The sequence below is a fragment of the Homo sapiens genome, chromosome 1, assembly GCF_000001405.40.
Source record: "Homo sapiens chromosome 1, GRCh38.p14 Primary Assembly".
In the NCBI taxonomy this organism is placed as follows: Eukaryota; Metazoa; Chordata; class Mammalia; order Primates; family Hominidae; genus Homo; species Homo sapiens.
Genome location: NC_000001.11, coordinates 216,952,867 through 216,967,272, shown reverse-complemented (window position 1 = coordinate 216,967,272; position 14,406 = coordinate 216,952,867). Strand labels below are relative to the sequence as shown.

The 14,406-nt window shown below is 37.4% G+C and overlaps 1 protein-coding gene across 39 annotated transcripts in view; it reads left to right on the top strand.

The window, feature by feature from the left end:
- ESRRG (estrogen related receptor gamma) overlaps positions 1-14,406 on the top strand; it is a 634,457-nt gene that overhangs the window by 170,430 nt on the left and 449,621 nt on the right. For 3 of the 39 annotated variants that reach the window (NM_001134285.3, XM_017000636.3, XM_017000623.3), the window contains one exon: positions 7,588-7,711. The exons of the other annotated variants lie outside the window; for them this stretch is intronic. The gene's annotated coding sequence lies outside the window, so the exon portion shown is untranslated. Of the gene's footprint in view, positions 1-7,587; positions 7,712-14,406 lie in introns of those variants that run through there. 39 annotated transcript variants of the gene reach the window in all.

Genomic DNA, 14,406 nt, shown 5'->3' with positions numbered 1-14,406 from the left:
TAATGCAAAGTCTGGGCTTTGGGTGGAAATGCTGTGTCAATGTAAGTTCATTAGTTGTAGCAAATGTACCCCTCTGGTGGGGAATATCAATGGGGAGGGGGGGCGATGCTGTGTATGTGGAGGGTAGGTAGGCGATACTTAAGAAGTCCCTGTACCTTCCTCTCAATTTTGCTGTCACACCAAAACTACTCTAAACAGTAAAATTTATTTTCTTAAAAAGAGTAGAAGACAAGGCCAAATGTAAGCTCTTGTTTAGGAAACTCAGGTAGTCCAGTTCAAATGGATGTGTACACAAGGCTGGAGTGCTGAGGGTTGTGGCATGAGATGCAAGTAGGGCCAGCCAGAAACAAATAAGGTGACTAAGAGTGGGATTCCATCCTTTTCGCTTTTGTATGTATAAGTTTTTGTTTCTTAAAAAAGCAGCCACCCTCTGTAGGATGCATGGGTTTTGACAGCTGGAAGGCCATTGGTTTATAGTGGCTTATAATACAGTGGAATTTGCAATGTGGAATTTTAGAGGCACAGGGAAAACTTGGGCTGGTTTTGTTCAGCAGGAATAGACTGAAGTAGACTGAGGTTCCCTGGGACCTCAGAACGATGCTAGGATAAGAAAACAAGAGCCGGAAGTTGAGCACCATGATGAGGGAAGGGCATGGAAGAAAAGGCATGGAAGGAAGGCCATCCTGGGAGATGCCTATATATCTAAATTCCTTACAGGTGAGCCTGCACCCACTGAAGGCATATGTTTTCCTAGTAGTGTGGCTAGTTTCTACCTTCTGGTCTTGTTCTTCTGGTTTCTGTTTACAAGATGATTACTCCTAGAGGTTGAGCCCAAGGGCTTGGGAATAGTGAAGATAAGTAAGTGGACTTGCTGCCAATGGACAACAAATCCTTACTTTGCTCCTAGTATCAGAATTCATACGTATAGACAGCCTGAACAACCATCTGGTGTATCATCTGAAGCAGAATGAATGGATACAAATAATCTTTTGTTGACACGTTATACTCCAACATGATTCTTCCCTTAAGATGAGATTTCTGTGGAAGTGGGCAGATCATTCTGATGAAAGATAAATGCAAGAATGTCCCTAACATTTGCTGGGCTAGGACACGTGTCCAAATGGAGACCCAGGTACCATGAATGTACCTGGCTTATAAATTGTTAAATAAAACATGTTCTATTGTTCTACCTTGACAAATGTACCTTCATGATCCTTTTTACTTAAAATGTGGCCCACATACCAGCAGTGTCAGTATCATTTTGGAGCGCATTAGAAATGCAGACTTTCAGGCCCTACCTCAGATTTACTGAATCAGATCTGCATTGGAACAAGACCCCCAGGTATTTTGTTAGTACATTGAGCTTTGAATGGCAGTGTTCAGAATGAACTGGAAGGCCAAGCTCTAATTTAGAATCCACAGACTTCTTAGAGTAGTGCACCAGACCATGGCAACATGACAAGAACTGTTTCTCAGCCCTCAGCCTCTAATCTGACCCCCTTCCTACTCCCAGCTCTTTCCAATATCTGAGTGCCTTGTGCACACCTGTATGGATGCCCTAGTCTGCACATTCATATCCCTTTAATATAGCTGCCCTTTGGCCTCCCCCCAGGCCTAGGAATGTATCTAATAGACTAGTCAGCCACTGGGAGGATGGAGTCAGACCTGAAGTAGGCCTAGAACCACTTGAGTAGGGAATTCCTAGAAGACGGGCATAGGCTCTAGATGGGCATGTCCCCTCGGCCATACCATGGAGAAGGGTCCAGCCACAGGAGGTCAGGGCCTCTCGTGCCCTGGTTTGTAGTACTGGATAAATGTATTTCTTTCACTGGGGATGAGATGATTGTGGTGATAACATTCAAACTAGAATGCCTTCAATAAGTTGGTAATTAATAGATGAAGCCTTGCATTAAAAAATTCATCTACATCTTGAAAAAATGGAGCTGCTGATAGGCATCCAGGACCATAGAACATCTTAGGGACTGACAGCTTATACTGAAGTCTGAATTTCTTGCCATTCAGGTTGGGATGGTTTGGAGGAAAGATGTGTCCTGAGGGATTTAAGAGATTGACTCTTGACACAATGGAGTCAAGAAGTAGGAAAAAAAAAAAGGCATATGTGTAACTTTTCGGTTGCATAACATTTGACTTGTCCATGATACATTTGACTTGCATTTTCATGGTTAGCCAAAACTAGCTTCCCAAAAGATATTTTGTGCCCTCTTTCAAAATCTGACACTCCATCAATGGAATTTCTTTTAAAAAATGTAATGAAATGTGATTAGTGCAAATGTCTGTGAAATTTATTGAACTATTAAAATCCTATTGGATCTTTGTTTATGAAATGTATTTTTCTGTATTTGAGGTTTAGGGAAGCTTGATAATGAGGCTATGAAGATTCATGGCCTCTTTTCTATGGCTTAATTTAGGCTCTATATCAAATATGTAAAATAACGTTATATCTTCCCACCACCTCTGTGGATCATACATTTTGTTATTATTTCTCTGCCAGAGGTTTTTTTTTTCCTTCTCTTCTCCTTTTATAAAGAACTACTAATAGTAGGAACATTTTTAATATAGAGAGCCATTATCTAGACCAGAAAGAAGAAGTGAGTTTGGGTAATGATTTTTCCTTCCAGGTGTAGCTTTAGCGTTAGGTAGACACATACAGATTCACGCTCAGTGTCAGCTGCCACCCTTACCCCTCTATACACTCATTCCATTTTAGGAAATGCATATTCCATCATATACTGCCATTATCTAAACTCCCCAGAGCCATCATCAGCTTCTGTGAGGCAAATGACTTGCTCAGCAGAGTTGCCCATGGGATAGGGAAGTGGAGATGATCAGGCTATACAGTGTCCTTTGGGGATGGGGGTATGGAGTGGATGATGTTGCTGTCAGCAGACCTGTGACTTAAGGAGGCAGCCAGTGATCTTTAATCTATTTCATTGCAAAGCAGCTAAGGCCATCCTTGATCCCTTCCACATGCAGTTTTTACATCTGTTCTGTGATTTACTTTCTCTTCACCTACGTTTACTTTGTGCCAGTGACTTTGCTTTGCTCTGAGGATAAAGACCAAAATCCTAAGCATTCCCTCAAAGTCTAGTTAACTTGGCCCTACCCACCTCTTGCACCTCATCTCACTCCATATCCTCTATTCTGTGCACCTGTCTTCCTGCCTTCTTTCAGATCCTTGGAATCACCATGCTCCTTTTTGCCACAGGACCTTTGCATCTGCTGTTCTGTCTGCTTAGAAATCTCCAGGTAGTATCTTTGCCTGATTAATTCCTACTCTTTTCTCAGATATCTACTTTGTCTCCTCATCTTTAGGGAATCCTTAGCTGGCTTCTGTCTGTCAGTCAAATCTCTGTTTTGTGTACTTTCAGATCACTTCTTTTCCTAATGTGGCTTTGAGTAATGGCTGACTCTCCCACTAGACCGAGACACTTTGAGGCAGAGACTGTGTCTGCTTTAGCTTCTCCTCTGCCTTCCTTGTACTTTCCATAGAGCCCTGCACAAAGTTGGCCTCTGGTGTCCCTTATGGAAGGCATCAGAGAGCACAACGTGATTTTCCTCTTCTCGGGTTTCCCTAAGGACACCACTGCGTGGCTTAATATTTGGCAAAATGTCATCAAATTATTTTGTATAGATTGGTGGCTCATTTTTAAAAGCTTCATTTTAGGATAATAGAGGAGGATAGACAAGTCTTCATTCAACTTGTACGAGAGGAAGCCATCAAATGCTCTAGAATTACGTGGCTTGACTCTGTTAGATTCCTCAGGACCTCAGGAAACATGGTTTAAGCCTGTCTTTAGAAGACAGAACTATCTAATGAATTGTATTAACTTTGAGCCCAATTATTTTTATCCCGGGTGGCACCAAAAAGTGTCACATACTCTATGATTTTACCTCTAAGCAAGATTGTTTTCATTCTGTCAAGCAGTGGTGGTTTATAACCTCAGAAACCAACTCTGTCGCTTCCCTAGTAATCAGTGTCACAGCCAGGATGCTTGTCCCACTGCGTGATATACATTCCTTTCACTATAATTTCATAGACTCATTTCCTTTTGTTCTTTCCTCAGGGATAATCTGTTTTAATAATTATTCTTTAGGTAGATGAATCACATTTATATAGCGCCTTATAGTGTACAAAGTGCTTTAAGCACATCATCTCATTAAATCTCCAAACAACTCAGTGAGTTGAATATTATTTTCCTGTCCTTTCACAAAACAACCAAGAGAAATTATAGAACTTGTTCAGGGTCATATGGCTTGTAAGTGACACGTATGGGTCTCTAACCCAGGTATGTGGATTTCCACATTTTCACAATATCAGGAGCCATTCTCTGCACACAGGAACTGATATTCTACCTGGTTCTTTTTTAGACTTCCCGTCTTGTCATATTAATTGTATATACGTTCTCAGTTGCTATTTTCTACACCTATGTTCATGTTCACTGTTTTTTCTGAGCTCTAAGTTTTCTCTGCATAATATATTGGTTATGTAGTCCTGAAATACAGTGTCTTTTTAGAAAGCTTTAAAGTGATTAGATTTCAATGGTTCCTATACAGTGCACTTCTGTTCATACATTCTGGTAGCGTGCTGGCTTTGTTTTTTAGCAACAAGATTTGTTAGCCTAGCAGTGAATTTTATAATTTAACAATAAGAAAGAAAAGAAAAAAGAGAAAAGAAAAGAAAAAAGAAAAAAAAGATTCCTACTTGTGGAAACACACCATCTAATGGATGAGACAACAGATGCAGGACTTTACAGATTAAATTTGTAGCCTGAAATGTTCATTTACACCTCTGTCTCTGCCATGCTTTCAAGTGGGAACACGTTTTTAAACATTCACAGACAAGGGAATTTTAGGCACTTAGCTACACTAAGCCCTGTCTTCTTGGAATGAAGACAGAGAAGAAAGCAGAAAAACTCAAAGACTTGACCAGAGATTCCTAGTTGGGAGGAAATAACCAGGTCACCAATATTCAGTAGTACTTAGGCAATGCCAGGGTCTCACACTGAGGTTACCAGCTTGCCAGCCATCTGTAGTAAGGGAGCTACTCTCAGATTCTCCCAAACCACTTTCTTTCTCTCGCTAGTTCTTTTGATTCTTTTGTGTTTATTCCATAGTTTCGAATAAGAACAAAGCTTAAAAACTGGACTTTCTATTTGCAGTTAAAAAAATAGCAGAAAGCACTGACAATTTTTCTTTCTTTATGGCTGTAACAATTATGTCATGTGTGACTATAGGGTTAGAAGTATCAGATAATTTCTTAGGTAAAATAATTGCAATAATGATCCTGTAACAAGAATCATAGTGGGAAATTCCTTTAAAGTGAATAATCTGTGGTAAAGATTATGTCACAATTTATTTTGTGTGCGTATATGTGTGTGTTTTTCTCTTTTAGCCAAATGGTTTTCAATAGCAATTACTGAAGTGTCAATGACCTTCTCGTTCAATTGAATTAAAAAACTTAAATGAAGTTTTACTAGTATCAATCTTTGCTGTCATGCAGGTAATTGAGAACATGATATATGTTACAACAATGCCACCTATAGTTAGTAGCCTTTGTTTAAAGCAAGGTAAAATTTTACATATGCTGCCGTAGAAAACAGCCTAAAATAAAAGGTTGTTAATCAACAGTGTATCAAGTACCAGGTACCCTTCCAAGCTCTAGGAAGAAATAGACAAAAAAAAAAAAAAAATAAGAGTAAATTTCTCAAGTTGTGACTATGTCAGGGAATGTAGGAATATACTTAAAAAAGAAATCCTTAAGAAGAGGTAGTTTATGTTCTAAATATCTTCTAATAGTTTGTGGTTTCTTTTATTTTCTTTATGGTATCCTTTGATAAAAATAATTTCATATCCAGATAGACTTTATCATTTTTTTATGGTTGGTAATTTTTGCACTGGCAAAATAATTTTCTTTTTGCTGACTGAGAGGTCATAAAGATATTCTGTTATATTGTCTTCTTAAAGTTGTAGAGGTTTGCTTTTCACATTTAGTCCAGCTGGAATTTGTTTTGTGTGGTATAAGGTAGGGTTTCTTTAACGTTTAATCAGTTATCTCAGCACAATTTACAGAATAGTTCATCTTGTTCCCATGGATCTGCAATTTACTTTGTTAGATTCCAAGTTACCATCTGGCAACGTCTTTTTTGTAAACTCTCTATTTGGTCCCATTGATCACTTTGTCTCTTCCTCCTTGTATAAATATCATATTGTCTTACAGTAGCTTTGTAATATGTTTTGATGTCTGATGAAAGAAGCTTGCAAAAGGATGAGCAAACAAATTTGGTATGTTCCTACAAGGAATACAGTAGAGCATTAAAATCAATGAACCACCACAGCTATGTGCATTTACATGAAGGAACTGGGCCAGGCCTGGTGATTTATGCCTGTAATTCCAGCACTTTGGGAGGACTAGGTGGGAGGACTGCTTGAAGCCAGGAGTTCAAGACCTGCCTGGGTAACACAGTGAGACCCTGTCTCTACAAAATTATATTTTTAAAAATTAGCCAGGCATGGTGGCATGCACCTATAGTCCCAGCTACTCAGGAGATTAAGGCAGGAGGATAACTTGGGCTCAAGAGTTCAAGGCTGCAGCTAGCCATGATTATACCACTGCACTCCAGCCTGGACAACAAGTGAGACTCTGTCTCCACAAACAAACAAACAAACAAACACATGGAGGAGTCATAAAAGCGTAGTATTGAATGAGAAAACAAAAAACAACCAGAGAGGACTATAGATAGTATGATACCATCTTGAAAAATCCCATAGAAATAATCTAAACAATACCTCATTTAGGGACACATTCATGTAATCAAATTTCTAATTAAAACAAAGGAATGATATGCACACAATTTGAGGTGGTGTTTACTTCTGGTGAGGAATGCAGCTGAATGGAATTGAGGAAGGGTCCACAGGTAGCTTTGATAGTTTGGCAATGCTCATTATTTAAGCTGGTTGGTAGATCCATGAGAGTTTATTCTGTTATTATGTTTCATAACCTACATATATGATATACATGTAGTCGCTAATGATTACAAAAAGAAAATTCAAACACCATAAAATATGTACATAATGATAATGTTATAAAAGCATTGGAAGGGACTAGATTTTTTTTTACATTACAGACTTTATTCTTCAATGTTCTATTTGTAATTCAAATTAAATGTACATACACACACATATAATATTTAGGCAAAGTGATACAATATAATACAGTTTAAATACTGACTCTGGAACCGACCAGCTGTATGAATTTAACAAGTTACTTAAACACCCTAAGCCTCAATGTTCTTATCTGTAAAGTGGGAATAGTTCCTCCTGGAATTCTTGTGAGGTTTAACAGTTTCTCAGTAAGTGCTCAGTATAGGTTAGTTTATCTGTCTGTTTTATTATTACTTAAAAAATTCTCTATACATGTATATGTACAGATGTATGTATACATGCAGATGCATATATAAAATATATAATTTTTCACTTTGTTCTATGAAGTCTATTTGATTCACGTGCTCACTCAGTCTCAGTTTTTAAAAACTCTTTTAAAAATATTTATTTATTTATTTATTTTAGAGACAGGGTCTTGCTTTGTCACCCAGGCTGGAGTGCAGTGCCACAATCAGAGCTTACTCCTGCCTTGAACTCCTGGGCTTCAGGGATCCTGCTGCCTCGGCCCTCCAAGCAGCTGAGACTACAGGTGTGTACCACTGCATCCAGCTAATTTTTTTTTTTTAAGATAGGGTCCTGCCATGCTGCCCAGGATGGTCTCAAATTCGTGGGCTCAAGTGATCTTCCTGACTTGGCTTCCCAAAGTGCTGGGATTTCAGGCACGAGTGAACATTCCTGGCCTCATTTCTTAAAAATCAAATTGATTTGGTACAGTGTTTGGGAGCACAGTTTTAGGTGTTTTTTTTTCTTTTAAATAGATATATCTGCCGCTTTTAAAATATAGTTAAAGACTAAAATGTTATGACTTTAAGTTGGTAAAGAGTTCAAATATATATTCCTCTCAACACTTCTGGAGCATTAAAAACTTGTTCTAGGATCTGGGAATCAGTAGTGAGCAAAAGTTGTGGAATGAATGGTCAAAATTCCTTGTCCTCATAGAGCTTATATTTTGGTAGAATGAGATAAACTATAAATAATAGGAAGGAGAGAAGGAGGGAAGGAAGGAAAGAAGGAAGATAAAAGTGCAAAAGGGAGGGAAAGAGAGAGGGACGAAGGAACTAAAAATAAGTGTAAAAATAATCACGTCTTCATGGGTAAGTGTTACGGGAAAAATAAAACTGGATAAAGGGAATAGGGAATGCTGGAGATCTGGTTGCTATTTTGTGCAGAATATTCCAGAAGGTACTAAAGGAAGTGAGAAAACAGGCAGGTGGATCTCTGGGACAAGAAAATCCCTGCAGAGGGAACAGGAGCTCTGAGAGGTCTGGTGATTGGTTGCTCAAGGACACCAGGATAATGAAGAGTCTAAGCAGATGGAGCAGTACTAGGAGATGAGATCATAATGTTACCCGAGCGGCAGATCGTGTTGTGCTTTAGTGGATGCTGTAAATATTTTTGGCTCTTAGTGAGTGATCTGAAATGCTATTGGATTGCTCTGAGCAGAGAAGTGTTAAGAACTAACATATTTTTAAAAGATCGCTTTTTAAAAATGGGCAAAAGACTTGAACAAACACCTCACAGAAGAAGATATACAAATGGTCACTAAGCATATGGAAATATATTCACAATCATCATCAGAGAAAGACCACAGTGAGATGCCATTGTATACCCATTAATATGGCCAAAATTAAAACGAACAATATCAACACGAACCCACTGACAAATGCTTACAAGTATGTAGCGTAATCTGAACTTTTATCCATTGCTAGTGAGTGTGAAAATAACACAACACTTTGAAAAATAGGCAGTTTTTATCAAACTAAAGATTTTTACCTATGACCCAGCAATTCTACTCTCAGGTGTTTACTCAAGAACAACAAAAGGATAAGTCCACAAAAAAGCTTTGTGCAGTGTTTGTAGCATCTTTATTCATATAGCTAAAATGTGTGAAACAACCCCAAATGTCCATCAACAAATAATGAATTAATTAGGGGATATTTATACAATGGAATACTACTCATCAATAAAATGATATAACTATTAATACTCTCAATAACAGATGAATCTCATAAATGTTATGCTGTGGTAAAGGAAGCCAGGGACACATGGTGGTGCGTACTATACGTTTCCATTCATGTGACCTTCTGAAACAAGCAAAACTAAACTTTCATAGCAGGAATCAGAACATTGGTTTCCTCTGGGAGGCGATTGAGTGGACAGGATCATAAGGGAAACTTTTGGGGATGATAGGAATGTCCTGTAACTTGGTGGAGATGGTTTTACAATAGTCAAAACTCATCAAACTTTACTCCTAAAATCTGTGTGTCTTATCGTAGGCAATAATTAGTTATTTAATGGATAATTTAATACTTAGACTTTCAAAAAAGAAAAGCATGTCACTGTGGCTTGCCTATAGAGAATAGACTGAAGAGGCCGAGGGTGGAGACAGGGAAACCAGTCGGGATGCTGTTGCCCTGGTCCAGGAGGGAGATGCTGGTGCTGTGGATAGAGGTGGTAAGGATGAAGTGAGGGGAACTGGTCAGCTCTGGATATCTTTTGAAGGAAAAGTCAAATGGATTGCATGGATGGTGTTAGAGAAAGAAAGAGTTGAGGATGTTTCTGAAGTTTTGGGGCTGTGCAACCACAAGACGTAAAATATTGGGGAAGGATAGATTTGCTTAAAGAATGAGAGTAATGTGGATTCATTTTTGGAAATGTTAATTTTGAGATGCATATTAGACAAATATGCATATTCGATCCAAATAAATGTGCTGAGTAGGAAGATAGATAAATGAGTCTGGTGTTCACAGGAGACATCTTGGCTAAGGTTATAAATGTGGGATTTGTAAGTACATATATGGTATTCAAAACTATAGAGACTAGCTGTGACCACCTAGGGAGAGTGTAGAAAGATAAAAGAAGAGATCCAAGGACTTGGCTTCTTTAACATTTAGAGGACTGGGAGGTGAGCAACAATCAACAGAGAGTAGATAAAAGAAGCAACCAGTGAGGAGGAAAGTAAAAAGAAAGTGATATTCCTAATGTTCAGCAAAGAAGTATAAGAATCTAACCAAGTCCTTTTCACATTTAAATTCTTTGGAATCACTTTTATCCACCAGTCAATATTTTTAATATCACAGTGATATGATGCTTTTCATAACCTGCCTTTAATAACTTTAAGATTGAAAGTATAATTTCAAGACTTGCAGAATATTAAGATTTCATCTCATTTTTGTTCTATTTTGTGGTTTTTCCTATTTGGTTAACCTTTTGGTTTTGTTTATTCCTTGATTGAAAGCTTTTGATAGATAAATATTGGTACGCAAGTGACATAGGAATTGTTCATGCGAACCTCTGTTAGCTTTCAAGATTTTATTGTTTTTTCTGAAAGACTTGGCTATTTCTATTCTCTCTAACTGCACTGCCAGGCATGTGATAGGATAGCTCCTTCGTACACAATGACATTATACCTAGTGCATCACCACAAGACAATCTTTTTTGAAGGCATTTTAAGAGATTCAAATTTAAGTTAAAACAAATTCCATAATATGGAACCACAAAAGACTTCAAATAGCCAGAGAAATACTAAAAGGAACAAAGCTGGAGGCATCACACTACCTGACTTCAAAATATACTACAAAGCGATAGTGATCAAAACAGCATGGTACTGGTATAAAAACTGACACATAGACCGATGGAACAGAGTAGATAACTCAGAAATAAATCCACATATTTATAGGCAATTGATTTCCCACAAAGGTGCCAATAACATTCATTGAGGTGTTGTTAGAGAAAGAAAGAGTTTAGGATGTTTCTGAAGTTCTGGGGCTGTGCAACCACAAGATGTAAACTACTGGAGAAGGATAGATGGTGTTGGGGAAAGTGGATATCTATATGCAGAAGATTGAAACTGTATCCCTATCCCTCGCCACATACAAAAATAAACTTAAAATGGATTAAAGACTTAACTGGAAGACCTGAAACTATAAACTACTAGAAAAAAACATACAGGAAACTCTTCAGGACATTGGTCTAGGAAAAGATTTTGTATGTAAGACTGTAAAAACACAGACAGCAACCAAAAAGTAGATATTAAACTGAAGAAACTTCTGCACAGCAAAGGAAACAATTTATGAAGTCAAAAGACAACCTGTAAATGGGAGAAAATATTTGCAAACTGACACAGACTAGCTGTGACAAGGGACCAATATCCAGAATACACAAGAAACACAACAGCAAAAACAAAGCAAAACAAATAATTCAATTAGAAATGGGCAAAGGATCTCAATAGAGATTTCTTAAAAGAAGATGTACAAATAGCCAATAAGTATTTGAAAAAATGTTCAACATCACTAGTCATCAGGGAATTGCAAAAATCAAAACCATAACGAGATATCATTTCGCTTCATTTAGAATGGCTATTACCAAAAAGACAAAAAAGAACAAATGCTGGTGAGGATGCAGAGAAAAGGGAAGTCTTATACACTGCTGGTGGGAATGTAAATTAACACAGCCACTATGGTGAACAGCATGGAGGGTTTTTTAAAAAAACCTAAAAATAGAACTACTGTGTGATCCAGCAATCCCACTACTGTGTATTTATCCAATAGAAAGGAAATCAGCATATCAAAGAGATATCTACACTCTTATGTTTATTGCAACACTATTCACAATTGCCAAGATATGGAATCATCCTAAATGACCATTAAGGAATTAATGAATAAAGAAAGTGTGGTATATCAACACAATGGAATACCATCCAGCCATAAAAAAAAATGAGATTTTTGTCATTCACAGCAATGTGGATGAACCTGAAGGACATTATATCAAGTGAAATAAATCAGGCAAAGAAAAGAAATACCCTGGATGTTCTTACACATGGGAGATTAAAAGTATTGAGTTCATAGAAAGAGAGTATAATTATGGTTATAAGAGGCTGGGAGGGGTAGGTGTGAGGGAAGGATGGGAGAGGTTGGTTAACAGATACGAAATGACAGCTAGATAGAATAAGTTCTAGTGTTCTATAGCACTGTAGGTTAGATATCATTAATAATAATTTAGTGTATATGTTCAAAAAATCTAGAAGAGAAATTTTGAATGTTCCCAATGCAAAGAAGTGATAAATGGTTATGATGATGGATATTCTAATTACCCTGATTTGATCATTACATATTATGTACATGTATCGAAATACCACTCTATACCGCATAAATATGTACAATTATTACATGTCAACTAAAAGTAAAGGGAACAGAAACCCAACTCCATATGCTGTTGCCAATGCAAATAGTACCAATGAAGTGACAATCAGATGAACAGCTAAGTTCACACATGCTCAGGCAGGATCACTACTGAGATGTCACAACTTACTCCTCTGCCTGTCAGCTGGCAAGTGTCTTAATTGAAGAAACATAGCGTATATATTAACGTGAACCATACTGCTTTATATGTGATAGCCTTGATATTCTGAGGCATACATTATACATACATTTAGAACCTGATTAGGTAATCAGAATATTGTTCAACTGGTGGAATGCTCAAGGCATGATCTTTGACTCATTTTATATAAGGTCTTCTTATTTACATATGCCTAAATCAAGTAATTAGGAGCCTTTAGTGCGTTATATTGAAAATTGCATAATGCACTCTGCTCTTGTTTCCCTAGAAGAGGCCAAGATTCATCATGTTAAATTAAGCAGCAAGAAGTAGGAATAATGATGGAATTTCCAGGATATAGAATGAAGCAAACTGAACTTGGTTTTGATGGCCCCAATGCAGGGACAGGGAGTTCTTGAGTATCTTTACAGAGCTTTCCTGAAAATGGCCATCCAAGAGGTGTGAAGACTTCTTCAGTGGAGAGGGGCTGTGTTGAAGTTTTTATTTTTTTTAATATGTTGAGTTATTACTTATAGCATTTTTTTATCCATGGAGTAGTGCAATTAAAAAAATACTGATTGCACTCATATTAACAAGTCCATTATCTCATAATCTAAAAAATACGTTCAGAGATGAGATATGATGTAACTTGGCTCATAAGCTAAAGAACCAAGATGACAATTAAGTGATGTTTTAGAGATATTTATCTTCTCTTTAACAATTGAAAAATAGGAAGGAGCATGGAATCTATAGAAAATCTAAAGTAATGATAGTAATATAAAGTGTCTGGGCCATTTTTGATTTTGCATAGGTTTTTTAATGTTTTCCTTCTTACTAGTCTTATGTTTTTTTCATTGCCCCCCAAATTGATATATCATTAATGATAAACCATATGATTGTTTTAATAGTTATAATTATATCTGTTATATTATTTCTTTAAGCATTTTGAAATAAGACACAAAAGAATACTTGAGCTATATTTTATATAATTTCCAAATAATTTTAGCATTCTTCCTCTTTGCAAGTAGAACCTTTGCCTGTACAGCTCTGTGATTTATGATGACATCACGTCCTTTCAGAGATAACACTATTATGTCACTGAACCTGAAGTGGTGAGGTCAGAAGTACATGTGAAGTAATTATGGGCCTGAACTGAAGACCATGCCTCAGTTCAAAGGAAAGCAAGCAGGGCCAAGAGGGAGGATGAAGGTATCGGGGATAGGGAACAGAAAAGAAGACAACAAATCTCTGAAATATGGTCATTGGCATGAGCAGAGATTTTACCCTCAGTATTTTCATAGTATGCTTAGGAAAATGAAAAAAAATAATGATGGGAAAAAAAGCCTGTGAGCCTTTAAAACTTTGCTCTATTGCATTACTAAGAAAGGCTTTGGAAAACAGGGGGGTTACATAAATGAGAGCAGGTGCGGTCGTGCAGAGGTAACTATTCAGCATATGTAAGTGCAGTTGGAAAATCATTGTCTTGCAGAGAATACTCGAAATTGGTCCCTAATGGCCTTGGTTTTTGTCATATGGTCTTGATTATAAGGCTAAAATTGCATTGCCATGCCTTTAGTGTGAACGAGATGGATGGATAATTATTACGTGTGCTGAATACCTTTCTGCATGGAGGAACTAGGCCATCCCCTGGTCATTGTAGCTACCATTTCGACTGGCTGTCAGAAAAGCTCGAAGCAGCCAATTCATCACCATATTTATGTGGGGGAGAAATGGAAATGTGCCTCTGTGGTTTGGTGTGCATACTCCCACATACATATACATATGCAGATTGTAGACATGCTGAAGTGGCCCAATGTGAGTGATTGTGAGGCAATGTTCAAAGAAGCAGTTGAATTCGTGGAAGTGAGGGGTACAAAAATGAAACAGCGAGCTCTGTAGAAAATTGAT